The sequence below is a fragment of the Homo sapiens genome, chromosome 13 (assembly GCF_000001405.40).
Source record: "Homo sapiens chromosome 13, GRCh38.p14 Primary Assembly".
In the NCBI taxonomy this organism is placed as follows: domain Eukaryota; kingdom Metazoa; phylum Chordata; class Mammalia; order Primates; family Hominidae; genus Homo; species Homo sapiens.
The window spans coordinates 96,794,077-96,819,386 of NC_000013.11; the positions used below are offsets into that span (position 1 = coordinate 96,794,077).

At 39.2% G+C, this 25,310-nt stretch overlaps 1 protein-coding gene and 1 long non-coding RNA gene across 2 annotated transcripts in view, besides 1 other annotated feature; one reads left to right on the top strand and one right to left on the bottom strand.

The window, feature by feature from the left end:
* The window catches only part of HS6ST3 (heparan sulfate 6-O-sulfotransferase 3), a 749,456-nt gene that overhangs the window by 703,970 nt on the left and 20,176 nt on the right, over positions 1 to 25,310 (top strand). The gene's annotated exons all lie outside the window — the stretch shown is intronic.
* Positions 3,036 to 5,128, bottom strand: LOC124903195 (uncharacterized). Its single transcript, XR_007063841.1, has 2 exons — positions 4,747 to 5,128; positions 3,036 to 4,574 (listed from the first exon to the last, which is right to left on the bottom strand). It is a non-coding gene; the product is annotated as an uncharacterized LOC124903195 (long non-coding RNA).
* Positions 22,725 to 23,482: an enhancer, noted in NCBI's record as "OCT4-NANOG hESC enhancer chr13:97469055-97469812 (GRCh37/hg19 assembly coordinates)". NCBI's record gives its function as "activates a minimal SCP1, AML or CMV promoter by ChIP-STARR-seq in naive and primed H9 embryonic stem cells {active_cell/tissue: H9 hESC(naive and primed)}" and the evidence as "EXISTENCE:reporter gene assay evidence [ECO:0000049][PMID:30033119]".

Sequence of the window (25,310 nt, forward strand, 5' to 3'; positions counted from 1 at the left end):
GGCATGTATATACCTGACTACTTTTGTTTCTACTGATTTTCCATTTGTGAGAACTTTTGTGTTCTCAAATGCCAAGGGAGCACTGGTTTTCTTTTTCTGAAAAATCCAGATGCTTTAATATCATCCTTCATGTGTCAATTCATTTTTCAATCCCTGATCACTGATTAAACAGTAAAACTTTAAGACACTCACCTTCTATGTGAAAATCTAAAACTCTTAACTTATAAGTATATGCAAAACACATCTGATAAGTATTCCTCTGTGCAGGTTAGAATTTTAGGAAACTATGTAATAAAAGATAGGATCTGACTTGAGAAATTTACAGTCTTTAAAAAATAGACATATGTTAACAATGAAGATTCTTTTCAATATTTAGATTTCCTGAATATTTGTGGCCAAGTTTTTAAAATATGGATTTTAAAATGTATCTACATAATTTCAGTGCTCTGGAAACAAAAGTAAATCTTCTATTTGACAAATTACTCTACCTGCAAATAAGATATTTGGCCAAGTGTGTATTTTTTTCCTCCCTCATTTTTTGGGCTGATAATTGGACTTATATTCTTGAATTCTAGTGTTGATTTCTGATATGAACTTGAAAGATGAAGAAAGGAAACAGGTTACATTGTGTCAGGTTTGGATCACTATACCATCCTCTGAAAAAATAAACCAGGATAAAGCATGTTGTTTCAGCCCACAATTCTTGATTTGATGTATAAGGTCATCAGATGAAACATGAAGTAGAGATGGGCTTTCTAACCAGCTGTGTATTTCTGTTCCAGCTGACTGACAGCACAAAGAAAATGTGTCAGTCATGAATATTAAGTTTCTTTCTAGCATTTTTCTTCCAGATGGAAGCAACATGCACATTGTAGCAATGCTTTTTCCAGCTGATGAGTTTTCTTATTTATATTTTTGGCAAAGCATATTGATTTTCATCTGTGACTTCTACCTTAGTACCCTACTGTCTGGTTTAAAAATATGTTCAGCTTAGTTTTAAAAAAATAGCTCACTGCCTAAAAAATTTACTTATGTCAAAGTCATTCCAGCACAGCCGTTTTAATATCTCAAACCTTTCACTCTTTTTTTTAAATCTTCTTTACTGTCTTTCAAAGTACACATTTATACACCTACCTTTATAAGTGACTGGTAACATTATTACCCAGTCTTATTATCACAATACTATAATAATATTAATAATCAATTTTAATATTAAAACCTTCTATTTTTAATCTTGTCTTTGTGCCAGGTGCTTGAAATATGCTTGATATTTATTACTATTATTAATTTCTCTGACAAGTCTCTGAGTTTAACATGATTATTTTCATCATATGGATGAGAGGACTAAAGACAAAAGAGGTTATATAACTTTCCCAAGGCCATGTAGCTCATCAGTGGCGGAAGCAGGATTTGAAAGCCAGTCCTTTTGAATCCCAACCTCATTCTCTTAAATGCTAAGCTATCAACATTCTATTACATTGGTGATTCTATTAGTCATTAATAGCTGTCTTACATTTTTCAAACAAAAATGCAACAGGAATATAACTGTAAAATTATGTTGAAAGATTGTTCTCTTACTCATTCCAATTTCCAACTTTTTGCAAATTACTTCCAGGCTGACGCCCAGAGGGCCCAAAGAGAATCCTATCTAAAGTGATGGGTTTTATGTTGGGAGACCAGTTTCCATTAAAGAGCTTTCTTCCCTACTTTTATCCCCATAGCAACAAGCATCTGTCTGAATTCTCCTTTGCAATTTCTGCCAAGTGGCAAGGAACTGAACTTCCTAGAGGGGCTGCTGCTGGTTTGAGATGAAGCCGAGTGGCCCAGCACAATGACAATCACTGTGAATGCCAGATGTGGCCTTGGTTTCCTGATATATCTGTTGACAGGAAACAGATTTTTGGAGATCTCTGGAAGGAAAAAGGCTATGAAAGCCCAAACTGCCATCATCATAGTCCTTGATGTCACCATTAGTATTGATAGAAGATCTGTTTCCAATATGTCTGTTACCTTTCAGAAGCATTATGATTCACGGGTTTTAAGCAGTATCTAATTTATGCAGCATTTATGCAGGCTTTAGTTTGTCTAAATCAATCACTGAAAATGAAATCTTGCCTTTTGATGTGTTGCTGGCCCTTATTTGAATGGGAAAAGGGAAACTTCACATTTGAACATTTCAAGCCTCATCATATTTTCCTTTTCCACATGACAGCGATAAACAGATCTTGGCAATACCTGACACAAAGGAAATTTTTAAAATGAACCATACTGTCATTTCTTTTGAATGATATGGCAAATAAAACAATAATTCAAAGGATCACTTCACTGAACATGTAGACTTCTAAAGCAAGAGAGCAGCTCAGACTAGTGGTAGGAGGAAGCACTGTTCAACTTAATGAAGTTTTCAAGGTTAACTTTTTAAAGAAAACTCATATTTTTGGAATGTCTGTGATGATTGGCTGAGAGAAAATTTAATACAGTGAAAAGACATGGGCTTTGGTGATGGAGAAATAATTTTAGATGCTTTATAATTATGAGACCTTGAACACATTTAAATTCACGAAGTTTTGGTTTCCTTAATAATCATACAGAAGTAAAAACTAGCAGCTTGCAGGTTTATTGTCAAAAATAGGATTAGGGTACGTGAAAGTACCAAGAAATGCCGTGTTATGTAACAGTTATTCAGGAAGCTGGCTACTACTGTTTTACGCTCATTGTATTTCCTAATAAGTCATGGTGTTATTACTTGTCTATGAGGAGAGGTGATAGAGTAGATGAGCATTTATTTGGTAGGGGACTATCGATCAGGCCATAATACAGTGAATATCATCTGTGAATCCTCTGCATATGAGGGGGTGTCCTTATGAATCTGAGGACTCTGACTACCACTTGCCAGGCATCAAACTACACAAATCAATAGGCTGAGGACATCTGCCACCTTTCAAAGTCCTCATGTTCGAAAAAATCCATTTATGAGATGGAGAGGGTTGTCCCTCCAAGGGAAGACACTCAGAGAAAGAGATCCAGTTGGATGATCCTTTTAATTATATTTATTGACCCTTCAACTGGAAGTCACCCAGTTCCCAGACAAGGATGCACAAGGGAGATTTTAGGCTGCACTTTTAATGGAAGTGAAATGCTGCAGGGTAAAGCAGAGAGCACAGATGTTTGCAAAGCCATGAGATCTGGGGCTACACTGATACAGGCACCATCTGATGGCCAGACTGTCCCAGTAAACGGGGTCCTGCTCAGAGTTCTGATCTAAGCACTTCATTGCAAAACTGGCAAGCTGTAAACCCCTGGAGTAGCTCCAGCTGAGATGAAAACAAAGGCAGAAAGAATAAACAATTTGGTTAATTGAGTTTGAATGATAGAATTGCAATAAGGGACCACTAAAAGGTGCAATGAGAAGGATGTTTAAAAATTCTAAAAAATCTTGAAGAAATAGTGGTCTTGGAGCTCTGAAAACAACAACAATGGCAAAGCTATGAAATCGTAGCACATTGACTGGAAATCTATTTGAGAATGAGGTTATGGGAAACAGAGAAATTAATGGTTCTTTTTTAAAAATCTGTTTCTGTGACTTCAATTATTTTACAATTACCTTTCAACGGGATTATGTAGAAAAAAACAAACTTTTCCTCCACTTTCACCCCACAGCAATCAACACAGAAGACTTATGTGCCCTGTAGTCACCAAGCAGTGTGTGGGGATTCTCCCTATCAGCAAGAAAGCCATCAATTCTGCAGTAGACTCTAGCTGAGTGTCCTTCAATTCAATTCACTCCTGACACCATCTACCTGAAGATAGCATCAGATCCCACGGGTTGAGGGCTCAGTCCCCAAGACTACCCACTACACCACACTTCTGATGCAATTCACAAGCTCCTACACCACACTTCTGATGCAATTCACAAGCCCACAGGTTGGTTTACCTGTGCTTCTGACTGACTATAAATAAGAGTTCCCACAACCCCTTCTTTGGGTTCAATTAATTTCTTAGAGCAGCTCACAGACCTCAGAGAAACTTACCCTTACTGGCTTATTATGACGGATATAAACAAAAGGATACAGACGAAGAGATGCAAGGCATATGGGAAGGGGCATGGAGTTACCATCCCTTCCCCAGGTGCACCACCCTCCAGGAACCTCGTCTTCAGCTATCCCGAAGCTCCCCAAACACTGTCTTTGGGAGGCTTTATGGAGGCTACATTACATGGGCCCAATTGATGAAACCAATAAACTCAACCTCTTTTCTCCTTGGAGACTGGGGAATGGGCTGAAAGTCCCAACCCTCTGATCCTACCTTTGTCTTTTGGGTGACCAGCTCCCATCTTGAAGCTACCTAAGGGCTTCCAGCCAACAGTCAAGTCATCAGTGTTCAGAAAGACACTTACCACTTTGAAGAGTCCAGGGATTTTAGGAGTTGTGCGCTAGGAGACTGGGATGAAGACCAAATAGATATTTCACAACATCACAGGGATCCTATAGTTACTATGGACTTTGTAACCATTTAGCTGTCATATGTGACTCTGAGGAAGGTCACTTAATTTCTCTGCGCCTCAATGTCCTCATCTATAAAATAAGGATAATAATGCTTACCTTATAGAGTTAGGGTAAGGATAAAAGATTATATACGCATCTATGTGTGTGCTTGTGTGTCTCCATGTGTGTGTAATCTGCTAGGGTTGCCATAACAAAATACCACAGACTATATGAGCTAAACAACAGAAATTTATTTTCTTACCATTCTGGAGGCTAGAATTCTGAGATCAAGGTGTCAGCAGGTTTGCATTCTTCTGAGACCTCTTCTTTGCTTGCAAATGACCACTTTCTCACTGTGTCTTCACATGGTCTTTTTTCTGTACATATGTACCCCAGTGTCCCTTTGTGTCCAGATTGCCTTCTAATAAGAATACAAGTCAAATTAGATGAGAGCCCACCCTAACATCCTTATTTTAGCTTAATCGCTTCTTTAAAGGCCCTATCTCCATATCTAAATACAGTCACATTCTGAATTACTGGGTATTAGGGCTTCGACTTATGAATCTTTTAAAACTGTGTTTGATCAAATGGTATTTCTAGTTCTAGATCCCTGAGGAATTGCCACACTGACTTCCACAATGGTTGAACTAGTTTACAGTCCCACCAACAGTGTAAAAGTGTTCCTGTTTCTCCACATCCTCTCCAGCACCTGTTGTTTCCTGACTTTTTAATGATTGCCATTCTAACTGGTGTGAGATGGTATCTCATTGTGGTTTTGATTTGCATTTCTCTGATGGCCAGTGATGGTGAGGAACCAACCCAAATGTCCAACAATGATAGACTGGATTAAGAAAATGTGGCACACATACACCATGGAATACTATGCAGCCATAAAACATGATGAGTTCATGTCCTTTGTAGGGACATGGATGAAATTGGAAATCATCATTCTCAGTAAACTATCGCAAGAACAAAAAACCAAACACCGCATATTCTCACTCATAGGTGGGAATTGAACAATGAGAACACATGGACACAGGAAGGGGAACATCACACACTGGGGACTGTTGTGGGGTGGAGGGAGGGGGGAGGGATAGCATTGGGAGATATACCTATTGCTAGATGATGAGTTAGTGGGTGCAGCGCACCAGCATGGCACATGTATACATATGTAACTAACCTGCACATTGTGCACATGTACCCTAAAACTTAAAGTATAATAATAAAAAAAAAAAACTGTGAACATATTTATGGGCTGAATTGTGGTCTTCATCCCAGTTATAAGCTGGTTTTGGTCTTCATCCCAGTCTCCTAGTATACAATACAACTCCCAAAACCCTGGACTCTTCAAAGTGGTATCCTTTTGAATACATATATGTGTGTGTATATATATATATATATATGTGTATATATATATATATGTATATATATATATATGTATATATATATATATGTATATATATATATGGAAGAGAGAAAGAGAATAGTTCAGAATTACAGCCGCCTAGTAGAGATCCACAAATAATAGCCCTTGTTACTCTTGGGCATTATTATTATTGTTGTTGTTCTCATATAATTTGATTTTCAGATCAAATATATAAGATGCAAAATATTATTACAGTAATTTTATATATAGGTAGGGAAAAAATGCAGAGAAAGCAAAATGCTTGCTCAATATTATGTGTTATGTGTCAGTTATAAAGCTGCAATTTCACTTCATTTCTTCTGTCCCTCAGTGTTTTTTTTTTTAGCACATTGTGCTGCCACCAAGTATTTGTACAACGATTAGAGAATTGATTTTCCTGTTAAATTCATGACTATCCTGTCCCAAAGCATTTATACTACACCTATTCCAAAGAAGTTGTTCATCGGAGCAGTGCAGTATCTGAACAATTAGAGTATTCTCCGATCAGAGACAAATTCCACTCTCCTTTCGCAGAATTCTGTGCTTGTATCCCAAGGTCAAAACTTTGAAATCTGGGGCAAGGTAAAAAATATATAAGACTTTTCCATTTCTGGGAAATTCTTTATCTTTGTTCAGGATGGAAACCAATAAATACAAATCTACTTCTCCCATCACCAAATCCACCCACGTATCTGCATCTGTCTCCACCCTCCTTACTGGTTATCTTGTTATAGTGAATAAAGTCCCCGAGATCCTACGAATGCCAGATATCTCACCACTAGCTCCCCCTTCTCAAGAACTTTACTCCCACCATCACTTCCCTTCTCTCTGCTCCATCAATTTCTCCCTCTTTTGTGCATCATTCACATTAGTATATAGACATGTTTCATCGTCTGTTATCTCAAAAAAAGAAAAAGAAAAACACCTTTGGTGGCCCTCTAGTTACTGCCCTATTTGTATTTATCCTGTCCTAGTAAGACATAAAAAGTGCCATTGTCCCCAATTTCTCAGCCATCCTTTAATTCTCAACCCAATCCAATCATGTTTTCATCTCATGGCTCCCTAGAAATCCGTAGGTTCTCTTCCTTGTTCTTATGTCATTTGGTCTTTTAGCAGCATTTGACGCAGTTGTCCACTCCCTCCATCCTCCATGAATGCTTCTTCTCTTGGCTTTTCGGTCAGCACATTCAGTGTGTTCTTTTCCCACTTACATCAAGGCTGCTCCATCTCTGTGTCCTTGTTTGACTCTCCTCTGCCAATCTCTGGCAATCCCAAGGATGCAAAACATTGAGTTCCTTTCAGATTCAAGGTTCCAAAAGTATCTTCCCTCAGATTTCATGTTCCTAAGAGATCAGATAAAAATACTCTTATTTTTGCTCTTAATTCTGGATTAGGTATTTTAAAAAGGCTTTAAGTCCTATACACAGATGCTGTCCAATATACCGTATGTCTTTCTAGGTTTATTTACCCTTCTGCTTGAATGGTGTTAATTTTCTCACTTGATTTGTTTTCCTGTTGAAAACAGCTGTCAGGGTTGCCTTTATATATGTGTGTGTGTGTTTGTATTTTAGATATTATCACTGAGAGTCTACACTTTGAAAACATTCTCTTACATAATCTCATGAACTGTCCTTATGAGATAGTGGCTGTTGTCCCTTGAGGGACAGAAACTTGAGGCTTAAAGAGTTGAAGTGTATTATTCAAGCTCAGACAGTCCACGACAGAGTCAGGATCCATCTCCACGCCTGTCCCTCTTGCTGGTGCTCTACATAAACGTGCAATCTTATATTTCACATTTCTGGAGCAAACTGGGACTGGGAAGGACATGACCATTTCTTTTGGATTTGTGAGAATGTCTTGGCAGGAAACAACAGAGAACTCAGTTGAACTGGAATAAATCATAATGGGATTTATCATCTCACATGAACAGAACTCTAGAGGGATGTCACAGGAAGATCAATAGCTCAGGAATGTAAGGACTCAGGTTCTGTTTTGCTGTCCTGTGTGTTGGCTTCCTCTAATGGCCAATTCTCCCCATCATTGCCAGATGGTTGAAGTAATTACAGAAGCACTCCAAAATACATTATCCAGCAATGGAAGAGGAAGGAGTTCTGACTTAAGAAAATTATCAGGGAGGAAAACTCACAGAAACCCCCCAGTCAACATTCTCTGACATCTCATTGACAAAACTGGCTACCTATACACCTGTAAACCGGTCCTTTACAGCAATGGACCCATTGTTAACGGCCTAGACCTATCAGGATTTACGTGATTCATGGAAAGCTGGAAACCAGAAGAAAATCAGGGCTGGGTCAGAATGAAAGAAAGAAAAGTGACTGTTGTATAGAAAACCAAGAGGGTCTACTCCATCTCTCAAGGAATAATTCAGGCAGAATATCTCTGTCTGTACATTTGTGTTTGTGTGTGCTTCATTTTAAAGCTTTTTTCTCTTTTAACAAAAACTCACTTTGTGAGGAAAAGCTTTTCAGCTGCTCTTCATACATACTCTTTTTCCAACAATCTCATTAGCTACTATGTTGGCAAAAGCCTTAAACATGCATCCTGTGGTACCAAGAATGCTTAATTATCCGTCATTTGGTCTGTGACTGCTCTGTGTAAAGCGTCCAATTCTTCAAGATGTACTGAGATGCTCAGGGATTAAGCACACATTCCCAAACCATTCAGGAACTTGGGCAATTATAAAGTTTTCTCCTTGGAAACAAGTTGCCCAAGCTATATAATCTCTGATCGTAACCAACAAGTTGAACATCTTTCAGTAAATTCCCCTTGGATTCCCCGTGACCCAGATGCCCTGTGCTGGTCTCACTTTACTCTTATTTGTAGATTCACATTTTCAGATACTTTTCCCATACTCTTTCCTATGGCTCTAAAATAAACCATATTTTCAAGTGGCATTTTAAAGTCTTACCGTAAAAGTACCTTATCAATCTGCATATTCAGTTGTGCTGCAGATCACATCTTGTCCAAGCTCACACATCAGTACATAACCTCCCTCATCCCCAATAACGTGGAAACAGATAATTATTCTACCCTGACTCTTCATTTTACTTTATGACAAACACTGTCACAACCAAAGGACTTTCAAATGATGAATTCCAATCTTTTCCCAACTGCTCTGGTTGTCGGAGTTACCCATGGGATACAATTAATAGCACCATTACCTCATTCCCCCAGTGGAGGCTGGACAAGTGTTTGTTGATGCCAGTGTTGCATGTCAAAATTGTTCAGCCTATTTCAAGTCCTCTTACCATCTACTGCCTATAGTTGTTAATTTTTGAGAATATAATAAAGTACAAAATAACAACACTTCTCATCTTTGCAGAGTTGACAGTTAACTAATTAGCCCATTAACTCATTTAGCCAGATTTGTACCAGTAAGTTAAGGGCTTTGGGAGGTATATTAATCCTTTAAGGCCACTAGAGCAACATTTGCAGCTAATGGGCCCATATTCCTAACTTACTACCAGGAAGGGACTAGGGTATTGTTAGGAAATAGAAACCATTAATCCTCACCGTACCCAGAGGGGCAGGTGAGAATGACTTTGCACAAATTGATGAGAAAATATGTTTTGTTTTGTTTTTCTCTTTTAAGACCAAAAAGAGACTCTGAGTTAAAACCACTGTTGGAACTCAGTATATCCTGGCAAACAGCCCTATATTCAAATTTGAAATCTTGCCAGAATTTATTTGTTTGCCTGTTGATAGTTTTAGATCCAATACTGAGAGTGGGGAGGCAAAAGGTTTCGTGTTGGGGCATGGGTAATTCTAGCATCTGGAGTCTTTGACAGCAGGCAAGGAAAATTGTGATTTTGTTTCTATTCCATAATGTACTTAAATAAACACTTAGTAATGTGGAATATACATCTAGATGGGTGTGTGTTGGGGAGGGGAGGGATTATGCAAAAAAGACATTTCTAACACAATTTGTGCTCTGCAGAACCAGACAGACTGTGGAAGTAAGGTGTGGGTCCTGCCCTCAACAGCCTGCAGCTTATCTGAAGGAAAAGCCTTTCGGTCCCATCTCTCCTTCTGACTCTGGTTGGACTTGGACAGGGATCTGGGGGTAGCATCTAAAACATGAGCTTATAAACTTGTACACCAAGGCAGTGGAGCAGTCACTTGTGTTAGCATTCTACATGGGGTTTTCAGCCCTGTTTTGCCAAAAAAAAAAAAAGAAAAAGGCATGGAGTCAAGTTACCAAATCCTGGAAGGCCAGAATTGGGAACGGCTAGTGGTAGTGATGGAAGGATGTGCAGCTAAACTTGTCGGAACAGAGAAAAGCGAATCTCTATAGAGAAATGTGGTGCAGATGGCAGCCCCAAATGTCCTTTACGTGGCTTCTGAGGCCATGTGGTATAAAGAGGAGGAGGGAGGTGCCTGGAATGGTTAAGGGTGTGGCCGGGAGCTTACCAACACATTTATAAAGTTATTCTGATTACACATGCAGAGCCATAAATCCTTAAGGGCTCTGTGTCTGGCTGCTGCCTTTTCTTACCCGACAGATTAATCACAGTTACTATTGGGAATAAAGAGAAATTGACTTTTTCTTTCTTTAAAAGTAATATTAAAATTCCTGCTTATATAGGTTCACCATGCGATACTTAGGTTACCTACAAAACCTGCAAAGAATCATTTTTTTTTTTAGCGATTGTGATGTGTTCCCAGGGTCCTTCCTTCCTTCAGTGCAGTTTCTGTGCCAAATCAGAAGGAAAGCTTTCATTTCAACAATAAGTAGCATGGAATGCGGGAGAAACCACATCAGACTCTTTGACGGGACTGCGTAAAAATTCAGTGAAAGAGAAGCTTCAGTGGACTTCTATACAAAAAAGGCTGAGAGCTACAATTTAGAACACAGGAATTGTTCCTGCTTTGCTACTTTCAGTACAAGTCATTTCAAATCTCTGTAATCCATCTTTCTCCTTTGAAAATGAACATATATATGTATTTATGTATTAATAACTCACCTTGTTTCACAAAGGTTGTAAACCTATATCTGAAAGTGTGACAAAAATGACCTCAGAAATACGTAAATGAGAAAATTGGTCAAAAAAATAAAATGAAGCTAAGGTTATTTTGGACATACATAAAGTAATTTCACTTGGTAGAAGTGGCCATGAATGTGCTTTGGAGCTTTCCACTGATAGCTGCCAAGAGGGTAATATGGTTTGGCTCTATGTCCCCACCCAAATCTCATCTTGAATTGCAATCCCCATGTGTCGGGGGAAGGGCCTGGTGGGAGGTGATTGAGTCATGGAGATGGACTTCCCCCTTGCTGTTCTTGTGATAGTGAGTTGCCACAAGATCTGGTTGTTTGAAAGTATGTGGCACTTCCCCCTTTGCTCATTCTCTCTCTCTCCTTCCACCGTGTAAGATGTACCCTGCTTCTCCTTCCCCTTCTACCATGATTTTAAGTTTCCTGAGGTCTCCCCAGCAATGTGGAACTGTGAGTCAATTAAACCTCTCTTCTTTATAAATTACCCAGTCTCAGGTAGTTCTTTATAATGGACTAATACAGTGATTACAATGATGATGACGACAATGACAGTCATGATGAGACAAATAGCCAATATTTATTATTTACTATGTGCCAAGCACTGTGCTAAGTAAGCATATTGTTGGTGTTAACCCATGATATCCCATCTTAAACCCTATGAGCTAGGTACTTTATTATTTCCATCTTTCAAGTAAAGAAACCAAGACTTGACCATGCAATTAACATAAACAGATTTTTCAAAGGAAATAGAATATGGAGCTTGATATTTCTCCAGGAATCACCAACGGAGGTCACAATGCAATTTAGTGACCAATATCCCCCAAAATATTTTTATGGTGAAACTGAGTTAGACAGCATTAGAAATGCATAAAGTTGTTACTTTACATTGATATCCAAGTGAAGTTCAGTTACCAAAAAACCTATCAGAAACTACACAGCTTTGTTTCATGAATGCAGGACTCTAATGCTCTGGCTTAACCCAAAGACGTATTTTAGGGTATCTGGAGGCGTGGATAGTGCTGTTCTCCAAGGAATCTTCCTCAAATTCTATTTCAGGGTTTTTATTAAGTATTTATGCACCCTAACAAATCCTGGAATTGCAGGTGTCAATATCACTTGTCAAGTATAGCACATAGCTAGAGGTGGGATTGATTCTATCTTATCAATGTGGTGGAAACTAACCAGGACAAATAAGCAAACAGGTCATTGTAAATTCACCCAGAGAATATCCTTGGGCAGGTCCAAAACATTCCTGAATTGTTTCAAAGCCCCAGAATAATGTATAATCAAAGATCGATTAATGCATATATTCATGCTCTCATAGAAATTTTATTGGGCATGTGCCAGGTATTAAAGGGACAACGGACCCAGCCCTTGTCATCACTGAACATATGACCTAGTAATAGATACTGATAATTAAATAAATGATTAAAATAAAGCACAGTAGAACCATGATAGGATAGCTTTTTGGCCTCTGGGAACATGTGGAAATGTGTCTCCTTCCTTGTGGCAACAGGTGAGAAAAGGCTTTCCTAAGAAAATGTCATTTAAGTACAAATTAGAAGGAATAATATTAGGATCTAGTCAAGTTATTGTCACAATAATCTGCTTGGGAGAAAAGCATATTAATGCAAATACTACAAAATATTTACCTGGATCACTAGTAAAAATAATCAAATCAGCACCAGTAAAGCACCCACTGACTCTTCAGTATTTCTGTTAGTTGCTTTGTAAAGTGAAGCCTTAGTTAACTGAAAGGGTTGACGCACATCTAGAGCAAATTAACTATGAATCAGTTTAATGTTGACTATTCAATTGCAGGTGAGATTCATATATTCTCAGATTTTGACAGATTCTGGAATGTCCAAGCTTTTTATAAGCTGATATATGCCAAGTCTGTATCTTCACCTGGGACAACTGCCTGTTAGATCTCCTCTTTTATGGCCTTCCCCCCGGGAAGACACGTCATAGAAGATAAGAGCAAGGCTTCTGGATCAGAAATATTCTGGGTTCAAAGTTTTCCTCTGCTCCTAATTAGCTGTGAGACCTTGGCCAAGTGACTTAAATTCTCTGTGGCTTATTTCTAAGCCTCTGGAAAGTGGAAATGACAATTTTAATCACCTGGTGAGAATCACTTCTGAAGAATACGGGAGCTGAAGCCCTGAAGCAATGAACACCATGCCTGTGCAAATGCCCAGAAAGATGCTGGTTGCTGTTGTGACAATTACATCACAAACCAAACTCTGTCTTCCCCCATCTTTCCTCCTGAATGCCTAATTGAGTCACTGTCCTCCTGTTACGGGTTAAATGCTGTCCCCTAAAAATTCATATCTTGAATTTCTAACCTCCAGTACCTCAAAATGTGGTCTTATTTGGAAATACAATTGTTGTAGGTAATTAGATAAATTAAGGTTATACCAGAGTAGGGTGTGCCCCCTACTCCAGTATAACTGGTGCCTTTATGAAAGGGGGAAATGTGGACACAGACAAGCACACAGGGAGAATGCCATATGAAACGAAGGCAGAGATTGGGAAGATGCAACTACAAGCCAAGAAACACCAACGATTGCCAGCAAAATGCCAGAAGTTAGGAGGGAGGCCTTTATGAAACAAACAACTAAGGAAAGAGTATTTGAGATGATTGTCATAAGAATTTAACTGAATAAACAAGGAGATCAAAGCTGTAGTGTGAAGTGAGCATCTGTATCAGTGGCACAGAAATGAAAAATACAAAAAATTAGCTGGGCGTGGTGGTGGACGCCTGTAGTCCCAGCTACTCGGGAGGCTGAGGCAGGAGAATGGTGGGAACCCGGGAGGTGGAGCTTGCAGTGAGCCGAGATGGTGCCACTGCACTCCAGCCTGGGTTACAGAGTGAGACTCCAACTCAAAAAAAAAAAAAAAAGTGTAGCATTATAGATGTGAGACTTTAACTGTAATTTAAAAAGGTAAGCAATGCCTAGATATACTATTAAATACCTATTACACACTCTTAACTGGTAGATCAGATGACTGACTTCCAAAAAGAATTTCTTGTCTCAGGGGACATCAGATGTACATACCTAAAATAACTTGGAATTTGTTTTGACTGGACGGTGCCAAAAATAATGGAATAGAAAGTAAGAGTCCTAAGACAAAGAAAAAAGAGACCACTGCCATACAGAGGAGCCTTGGTCGGAAAAACAGTAGAGAATGTATTTGAGCCCAGCCTTTAGTATGGATAAGATATGAAAAAGTACTTTTGTCAGTCATGAGTGCTGTTCACCAATATTTTTTGTCTCTTCCAGCCACTAGTAGGATTGCACATCCTGACCCCATTGTGGCTGGGTGGGACCATGTGACTAGTTTCAGGAGAGTGAAAGTGGTAGGTATCACTTCCAGATCAAAGCATTTAATGGCCAGTGTGAGTCTCTCCACAGTTCCCTTTATCCTCTGGTATGGCAGCCAGCAACGTTCGAATTGACTGTTTCATTGCTTAACTCTGTAGCATGGTTCGAATTGGCTGTTTTATTGTTTAACTCTGTAGCATGGAAGATGAGGCTAGCTAGCCCCATGCTTGCTTTGGATAGACACGTGACTTGAACGTAAAATAAGTCTTTGTTGTTTTTAGTCATGGAGAGTTAGGGGCTGTTTAGTTACTGAAGATAACCCAACCTCTTCTGACCGATCCAGCACTTGAGAAAATGCAGAAGTGAAAGCATGGATTTGGGAATGCAGAAGCCACAAGTAGGTAAATTCTTTGGAAAGCATAATTTCAAAAAAGAAGTAGGTTCTGAAAAAGAGATGAGGGAGCCCAGATTGCAGAGAATTTCACATGTCAGATTAAGAAGCGGGAACTTTTTACAGGAGGCTATTACTGGTTTTGAGGAAAGGTTAGATGAGAGAAGTTAACTTGATGCTTAATAGGAAGGAAATCATCCTTGGGAATTAAAGAGGAGGACAGGGATGAAAAGAGCCCAGCCAGGCTACAGCAGGATGCAGATGGAAAGTGAAGAGACAAGAAGTTTTCCTGAAATGATGGCATTACCCTCCATCAAACCAGCAAACAAAGCAAAACAAAATACATGCCACTCTGGGGGAGGATTTATAGATTCACTTCTAACCATTTGAGCTATTGGCTTAATATTTTAGATTCAAGGAAAAAGCTCTGGGTCCTTGGATTTCACTGAAGTTCATCATGTTTGAGTTATGGTTCTTGTTAGCCCTGTAATAATGTATTCTTTTTTTTAAAAGTGAAGACTAGTAATAAAATCTTTATTATAATCCAATGCTAACATGACTCTCCCTAACTGAGAATTATGTTTGGCAGATTTAAGCAACCCCAGAAAAGATTCAGGCTAGGAATTTAGAAAGACAAGTTTGGTGAAAAGAACATTCTTATGGATGAATGTTATAGGGGCATTTCCTAAAAATATGCGATTTTGTATCCTGTCTTGTTTTTTGCTTTTAGATTTGGAACTAATGGTTTTCAATGTTTAATTTATTTAAGAATGGCCAGGCGACATATTAACAAACACAGAGCCCTCAGGTCCACTGAAGAGGGATTCTGATTCAGCAAGGCTGGTGGAAGAGGGCCAGGAGCTTTCACATGAAGAAGTAGTTCAGGTGTTGCTGTACAGAGGAGCAGCAGACCACACCTGGAGGGTCACTGCAATGACTCTGAGCTCCCAGACTCGGCCATGAGCTCTGGGCAGGCAGAGGTGTGTTTTATTTATCTTGGTACCCCAGGCGCTTAATTCCTCTGCATAGGAGGCAGAACTGCATAAGGCTGCTTTGCAGTCAGCCAGACAGACCTGGATTTCCATGCTGGCTGTAACTTACTAGCTCTGTGACAAGAGCTTTAACCTCTTTGGTCCCTTGAAAGGTGAAGATAATGACACCTTCCTCCCTGAGGCTTATGGGGCTCACATGAGGTTATGTTTCCATAGAGCTTGGCACAGGGCCTGGGGCCTGGGATTTGGAGTGAATTACTGGTACTGGTACGACAGTGAGATAGCTGGTACTCAAGAATGCTAGCACCAGGGTACAGGACTAAGGAAAAAAGTGCCAAATAGGAATCAAAGTTCTGCTTGATTAAGGGCTGAAACAGCATCCAGTACCCTCTGATGCTGAAGCCAGGTAAAAAGTGATCTAGAGAATGTGGTTTAGACCCAGAGGCCGCTGTGAGGCACCCCAGCCTCCCGGGCAGCCTGACAGAACTAAGTACAGGGTAATCCTACCATGATGACTTGTTTTGAAGGGTTAGTGACCTTTCCTATCAGGAAACCTTGCTCCATTTGTCCTGGACTTTAACCAACGTTCTTAGAAGTTTCTTATCTTTCCTTCAGAAAGGGAGGGAGATGAAGGGGTAGAAGAGAGAAGAAGGAAGCAGACCTTCCCCACCCCCAACCAGGCACATTGGAAGTGTTCCATAAATGGCATCTGTTGGGCTGTGATTATGTACTATTATGACCATAAAACTCTGTGAATGTTGAGAACCGCTGACCTTTACTTAATGCTTATTCTATGATAGACTCTGTGCAAATTCTCCATGTTGTGTCTCAGTGAATCCTCACAGGAAAACCCTGGAGGTTGGTACTATTTTTATCACCATTTAGACGTAAAGGAAGTAAAGTTCCAGAAAGGTTAAATAATTTGTTCAAGTAAGTGGTGTCAAAGCTTGGCTTCTGTCTAATGAACGAGTCTTAGGATGATGTTAAAAATGGATTTCTAGTTAAGTAGAAAATAGAGGGAAAGCATGATTTGCCCTGAGTGTGGGGTCTTTGCTGCCAACTGAGAGCTTGCATGTGTGTTAAGGGGTGAGGGGATCTACTTTGCCTTTGCAGAATGGCAGGCTATCCACAAAACACAAGATGAACAAAACAAATGAAGCCCAAGACTTTAGGCAATTTTTCTTTTACTTGTGTTAGTCAAAAATAAGAAATTACAGTTCAAGTTTTCCTGTAGTCTTAATTATAGGCCTCTGAGCTGTGAACAATATTCCAAATACTAACAATAGAGACCATCCAAAAACAAATTCTCTAGAGATCCCCCCTCCCCCCAACTCCAATGGGTCTGTTTAGGACAAGTGATAAGGAAACAATGTTCTGCATGAAGCAGCAGCAAGCCCCTAGACAGGTGAATCTTTTTCTTGTTAATGAAGTAAAATGAACATTTTTACTGATGTAAAACCAACATCAGAAATGAAAAGCCATTCTTGTTACTTACCTCGGGGCTGCAAAGGAAATATCCACTTCGCATGTTAGCTAAGAAGTGATAAGGCACCATTAGGAGCCCGTGCCACCTCGCCTTGGCAGAGAGGACCAGGAAGAAATGGTCCTATTTTTAAAGGGCTTTTCGACTTCTGATATGATTTGGGCCCTGTTCCTAAATCATCTTTGAATCAGAATAGCAATTCTTTTTCACCTACTTGGCTGGAATGTTAAAGAATCTTTGGAGAATGTTCAATGAATGTCTTGAGCTCTATGTAAATAGGAAAAGTGCAGTTATTTGAGAAAAGAATATCAAAGAAGAACTTAATATTATTCCATTTTTGCTATATTGGGAAGCAAATGCATTTATTACAAAGTGTAAAAAGGCAGAATTATTTCACAGAATAGAGCATCCAGTGGCTGCAACATAGTAGTATTTAAGTTATCTGTTGAATGAATTAATAAATAAAAAACATGTAAATAGGAGACCTCATTAAAAACAAATTAGAAAGTTGAGCACATATAATAAATAACCATTTGTACCTACTATTGAAATTTAGTCTTTTATCACCAAAGGAAAGCATTGTTTAATATGTGAAGAACATTAAGGCTAAAATTCAAAGATGAAAGCATGAGAGAATTAGCAATATCTGAGTCTCAAGCTCAAGTCTCGGCTAAGCTACCAAACTCAATTTCTATTAGATTAGGAAGAATATGCTTAGATCAGACTCAGGCAATGGGGAAATCTTGACCAAAGAATGGATGTGCTTAGGGTGTGAGGCAGGGGTGGTAACGTTAGAATCAGAGCCTGAGGGATGCCGGGGGGTTGGGGTGGGATGTATTCTTCACTACACTTTCTATGAACTGAAGACTTCATTCCTATTCAAGGTCACCTTTGACTCTGACATTCTGAGTAGAGTGGCATCCCAACCTTGCACTAGTTAAAGAACTCAGCCCCTTTTCCTCCATTGCCTCAATCTGCCACCCACACAAGATGTTTGTTTGTATAGAAAACTTTACAGATGGCTTGGGGTGGCAGAATCACATGGAAATCTATTTAAAAATTAATACTAGTCATCCCTGTTCTTCAAATGTTTCAACAACTCCACCACCAAAAGCTTCTTGCGGTCCAATATTTCCCCATATGCCTTTGCCTTTCTCTTTCTTGAAGCCTTTTTTTCCTTTTTACTTCCTCTTACTCCAAATTCAAGTTAGCTTCTTCTAGAAAATATTTGAGCCCTTGCTTTAATCCAGCTCCAACCCCTCCATGCTAAGAATGGAGCATCTTCTATATAAAAACACACCAATGTAGACATGTTACCGAGCAAAACCAGCCCTCCTGAAAAGAGCTCTAAAGTTGACTCTTAAAATAACCTTCCAACACTTTTTTCCTCCTCACTAGCACAAAAAGACAATGATGATCTATCTGCACAGAACGGCAGTTTGCCTAACAATTATTAGCTTGCTAGCAGTTACATTTTCTTCTTCAAGCTTTGAGATCTTTGTTACTCCACCTCCTAAGTGAAACTGTTCCCATTATAAAGTTGTCAACCCATTATGGCATCTTTTCCTGTTTTAGATATGAGGAATTATTTTTGTATTTAAAAATCAACACACACACACACACACACCCCTTAGGCTTTGGTGTTGGGCCTATCTTTGGTAACTGGGAACATATCTTTGATACCCAGCTTAGGATTTGCTGAAAAGCTCCATGTTTTCAGTGACTCTTGGTTATTTGAGCCTGGGGAAGTCTGTTGTAGGATTATCAGCTTCCTATCATGAGAGCGTCTGAGGACAGAGACTTGGGATGGCAGGGCCTGCTTCCTGCTATGCTCTCGTCTGATCACAGTACCTGTGGGATCAGCACTCTCTGCCCTCTAATCCTATCTCTCATCTGGCAGAGGAACTGTATTTAAAGCGCTTGCTTTTGAGACAGTTGGGTATCAAGATCAATTTTGCAATTTACTTTCAGAAGGATAGCAGCCTAAGTAGAGGTTTACAAAGCCCACAGATATCTTAGAATCTGACAAAAAGGAGTAAAAGCAAAAATAGGACAGAAAATGTTAAAAACACAGAAAAATAGTCTGGTATAAACTCTGTATTCAATTTTAGGAGAATCTGCCCCACAAAATGTTACTTGGACTGAATGGAAGGGTATCAAAGGGCCTCAACATGCAGCTCTTCTTCCTGAGAAGGATAAACGCCATCTGCGTACCCCACCACTAACATTGTCACTGAACAAGGAATGAGACCCTGGGGCACAGCCTCCCCACTGGGGTTCCACTCTACTCCTGCCTCTGATATGTAGGAGCCCAACATGTATTTGTTACTCAGTGAATAAAAGCTTTATGTCTTTCTCTATCACGCAGCAATATATTGACTCTCCACTGTGGAAAATGAGGAAATTCTTGCGTCTTTACTTCCCTTGACAACCCCTCAGCTCACTCTATGCCCAGCGTCTACTGGCCTTATCTTCACTCTGTAAGGCTTTTGAACATTCACATCTGGCCTTCAATGTAGCATAGACTTTTGAACTTGTTGTCTAGGATGACTCTAAAAATCAAAAAGCCAATAAACAACATACATAATGTGACCCTGTAAATACTCACAAATGATGTGATTGAACTCACAAACAAAAGAATAGACACAGGTTCCTCTAACCCATGCCAAGGTCAAACGGATTCTACTCTCTTACATTTCTAGTCCTTAAAATAATGCCACATTTTAGTTTGCATCACAGATGGTTGTAACTTTCTCTTTCAGCTTTTTGTTTCTTCTAGGAGTTGCTAATTGTCTTTTATCTTATGGAGAGAATAATTCTATGACTCTTTCATTATTATTATTTAAAATATTCAATCCGTGAATTCTGGTATCTATTGAAAGGTGAAAAATTTGCTCTCCTGTATGTTTCCTTAAAAATATCTGAATTGTCATCCTTGTAAATCTTTTCCTTGCAGACTGTGTTAATTCCAGGGTCTTAGATCCCATCTCTTTTTTATGGATTCCTTCTTATTTATATTAGAATGCTTTTTCAAATACAGTCCTTTTTTCCACAGAGTGCAAAGAAAGCAAATACTCTGATTGTATTACTATTTTTTATTTTACTTATACACTTAATTGATAATTTGGCTAGGTATAAAATTCAATGTTTAAAATAATTTTCCCTCAAAAATTTGAAGCTACTGATTCATTATTTCTAGTCTTCAGAGTTCTGATGAGAAAATCGTGGCGAGTTGATTTTTATTCCATATATCTAATCTCTTTTCAGGTTCTTCCTCTCTGGAAGCATTTGGATCTTGTCTTTATCTTTGGGGTTTTAACATTTCATTCAGACCCCTTAAATTCATTTAGGCCTTTTCAATTTCAATGCACAGTTTTTTAGACTTAGGAAATAGTCTAATTTTACTTTTATTATTTCTTCTCTTTTGGTTTCGTTTCTCTTTGCTCTCTATTGGGGATTTTTTTCAAGATGGATATTGGACATACAGATTCCATCTCCTTGTCTCTTACATTAATTTCTCATATTTTGCATGTCTTTCCCCTTCCCTTTCATATCTGACAAGTTGCCGGGTCCCCACTATTTGTCTTACCTATTGGTTTATTTTCAGGCTTGTCATATATGAGTATAAATTAGTTTCTAAGAACTTCTACTTTTTTTCTCCTGTTCTGTTGTGGTTTAATAGATCACATAATGGATAGTCATCAGGATAATCATAATAATATTTTTAAAGTTGTCTTGTGTTTCTCAAATATTTAGTATTCTTGACAGTCCATTTATATTTATTGAAAAGACTCAGTTTATTAATGTGTGCAGCTAGTGCCGGTCCCTTCTTTCATTACATTCATCTGTCTCTCCAATAAAGATATACCTTGTTTTCATTTCTTATGGCCACAGTGACAAAAGTACCACTAACTGGGTGGCTTCAACAGCAGTTTATTCTCTCATAGTTCTGGAATCTGGAAGTCCAAGATCAAGATGTCAGCAGGGTTGGTTTCCTCTGAGGGTGGGAGACACCGTGCCAGGCCTCTTCTCTTTCGTCTGGAAGTCTCAGCTGTTTTTTGCCTTGTAGATGGGGTTCTCTGTATCTTCACATTGTCTTCACTCCACATATATTTGTCTCTATGTCCACATTTCCCCTCTTTATGAGGACACCAGTCATATTGGATCAGGGCCCACTCTAATGACCTCACCTTAACCTGATTTTCTGCAAAGACCCTATTTCCAAGAAAGGTCATATTCCCAGGTATGGGGCAGTGGGGTGGTGGTTAGAACTTCAACATCTTTTTTTCGGAACGGACACAATTCAACCCGTAACATCTCTCAGTGGGAGAACAATGATGGATTTTGTGTTGATTGGTAAAAATCAGCAGTTGGGCTGGTCAGTACTTCATTGAGAAAGACTAGTCTTCTGAAGCCTCACCCCTAACTAACCCCACCCATCATAGCAGATCATTTAATCACTCAATTTCTTTAGAGAGCAGTTGTCTGATAAAATACTATTGTGACCAGATGCACTACGAAAGGGGAAGGATGGTACAGGAGGGGTCCACTTATTCTCTTTAAAACACCAACCTTTGCCTTCTGCTTAAAGGAGAGGAATTCCTTCTCTTTATAACTTTAAGTTATTTAAGTTTTTTAAGGTCAAAATGTATTTTAAAGAAATGTACTTAAACTTGACTAGATATGCTGTGTTCAAAGCCACAATCCCCCATGAGCCGCTAAGAATCTGGAGGTTTCTACCTGTGGAATGCCTGTCCATCTCCTTCAGGGGTCTGCCTAAGTCCTAGCTGCCCTTAGAAGGGGCAGGGCTCTGAATGGGAATTGAGCAGAAGGTCCTTGTCTGTACATACTAGCCCTAGACTAAATTTAAATCCCCAGATCGTGGCTGCAATGTTCTAACAAGGAAGGCCTCACATATCCTGATGGTGCTTGAATGACAGCAACACTCTAGATAGATGCTGGAAAGCACAAAGGTGACTTGCAATGTGATTAAAAGGAAGGTTTTCAATGGAAGGGTTCAATGGAAGGCCAGACCTGAAAACAACAAAACAGGGCTGTTACTAGAATTCCAGAAGTCACCTTTGGAAATTCTAAAGAGAAATGACTGAGGCAAATTAAGAGGGGCTACTGCTCTGTAAACTGGGAATGAAACTTGAGGGTACCAGTGACTCTAAAAGTCCTAAGCCAAAAGTCTATGCAGTTTACATCAACGTTTGGTTCACGTTGTACTGGGGGGCATTTGCCAAGCAAAGTAGGATTTCACAACAGAAGAATTTGCTGTCCCAGAACATGTCTCTTGGGAGCCTGAGTGAGAACACTGGCCTTCCTGAGCCAGGGATTTGTTTAACAACAGTGATTCATAATTTCAACAACCAAAATGAATGTGGAAGCATGATGCGTGAAGACCCTGATTATGAGGGACAATCGTGCTGCCCTGTTCTCCCTGACCCCTCTTCAGGAGAGCCAGCTGTCCAGGGGAAAGGTATCACATCCCCCACATGCCACAAAAGTGCTCCTGCCCAGTGGCAGACCTATGCTCAACTTTCCTTGGGATGATTTTCTCATTAGATTAGAGAAAAGGCAGTTGTCAAAAAGCCATTTCACATCAGCGCTCCAAGAGGCTTTCTGAGTTTGTGCAAAGATTATTTGGGTATTTGAACTACTCTGATATAATGTTTTTGGGGCATTTCTGTTCCTCCATTTTCCCTTTGATAAGGGTGCTAGGTCGTGTTCTCTCTTCTGCTGGAGATGCGATTCCCGTCTGTCCTTATTCTGCCCAGGTGTGGTACGAGATTCTACCCCTATCTACTGGGTTGAACAGAAAATTAAAACGCCCTCTTGAATTCCAAGTGCCTTTTGTGGTTCAGGCTGTAAACACCATCAGCACCATCAGGCTCTCAGCATGAGTTAAATACCTCCAGAACTAATGGCTGTCGCAACTTCCCGCTGCCCCCAGAAAGGGTCATTGCATTTTAACTGCTGTGTCACCCTCCATGGCTGTTTGGGGGGTGCACGATGTAGGAGAAGGAGGCAGACAGCCTTTAAAATCCATCGGAGGTCAATGTATTCCATTATATACACAGTGCTTCACATTCAGTTTTAACCTTTGGTGAAATTTGCAGTGTTGGGATTTTTTATGCTAGAGTGGACGCAGGAAATCACAGGTGCAACTAATTTCAGCTTTGACTTACAATCACTGTGGGCCCCTTGAATTTTTATATGAAATTCTCTCTTTAGCTTGAATGTAACGTGTCAGAAGTCTGTAGCTTGTCTCTGTAATATACATTAATAGGTAATATTGATTTGTGGAAATTAATTACTAGAAAAATAGTTCTCAGCACTTAACTAGTGTTTGGGAAGATTCGAGAGCCCCCTTGTGGCTATAATCTTCCTTAACTGAAAATCAATGAAAAGCTTTTAGCTGGTTTTTTGTTGGATTTTTGTTGATGGGTCTTCCCCTCCCCACCTTTTTCTTTTGGTTGCAGTTGTTTGCTTGCTTTATGTGTATGCTTTGAATTGTTTTTCATTTAGATTAGCTCCAATATAACACGTCATTTCAAGAAAACACACAGAGATAGCAGCAGATGTCAGCAACAGGTGACCTTTTTTTCTGCTTATCACCAAGAGAAATAATCAACACAAAGGGGCATGTTTAGGGAAGTTCACTAAGAAGGGAAATTACAGTTGTGTTATTCTGTTGCTTAAGGGATGCGCCCCCTCCCAACACACCATTTTAATCATGTATTGATTGCACAAATGAAAAAGCCACCTCTTGTAGCCCTAAGCTACATTTACTTTGAAAGTCTTAAAGATTATTTTATCAGATTTACATATAGCCATGAAAAGTGGGATAGTGTCCCCATTTGAGTGTTTTAAAATCTCTAAGAAATGAATGTTGAAAGCTATTACCTCTGGAAGCTTCAATCATGCCTGAAGAAAAATATTTGCAACTTAAGGTCAGTGCTCCACACTTGAATTGATGAAGAGAACACCCAAGGCAAAGTTTAAACAGAACGAATTGATTTTTTTCTGGGAGACTTAAATTATCATGCATATATTTTTCTAAATGTCTGTCGTTGCTTTATTAATTAGGCAGAATTGCAGCTTCGGAGCCACTGCAGCTGAAAGATCCCATTGAATGTCCATGTGCTAAGCTGGGCTTCTGGAAGAAACTCATGCTAATTATCGTCAATAAGTGGATTTTGAAGAGAACCTGATTAGGGCTCTGCATTATTTCCAGCATAATTTGGTTTTCCCTAGATTAGTTTATGGACTGACACTGGCCTCTAGTCACAAATGAGTTACTAGCCCTGCTTGTTGTTCCTAGCATGGAGAAAAATATCGTGGGTGGGAGCTGAAGAACAAAAAGAGAAGCAAAAATGAAAGACAAAAGCCTTGGTGTTTGGGCCTGGATAAAATACATGAAAGTTAAAGATGGTATCTGTTTCCTATTTTGTCTTCAATGCACAGGCGCAATTAGCAAAAATCTTAGTTACAACACTTGGTTGGGAGTGAGAGAGGAGACTAGTGCACAGGTAATGCTAGCCAAGGTGAAGTGTTGAGCAGCAACCACTTTACTCTTTAGAAGCTGTGGAAAATTCCAAGCTCCCACACTATCCTTCTTGGTCTTTTCTTGATATAGAGCTTTTGCAATGTGCAAGTTCCTTTCAGAATATTCATAAAAGTCTACAAGGGTTGTATCAAAAGAACTCCACATCCATATTGAATAAACTCCCACTAGCCAAAAATTGGATAAATTGAGGATCAATAAGGATCATGACTACAGTGTGTTGAAACTTCTTAAGTATATTTAGATTCATGAGCTTATGGGATACTAAAACAAACAAACAGCAATAAAAATCCCCTTTGGGGGAGACTGTAAGAAAGCAACCCACTATTTTGAAAACTAGTAAGTAAAATGAATCAAACATTCATTTGCCTTTCCTATGTGAACTCTACCTCAGGATGCCAAATAGTTGATAAGGGAAAGTTTCTTTTTATAGAGGCATTCCAGCTAATAAATGAAAAAAGAAATGACAGAATAAGACTTTCACCATTTTGCAACCCCCTTCTGGATGAACATCAGTGGCCACTGCCATCAGAAAAAAAGAGACCCCAGACTTTATTTACCTCCAGACTGAAGTCTGGAACACTACCTACTTAGAAATGAGTGTATTATTTAAGAATGATTCTTCCATAATCAAAAAACATACCA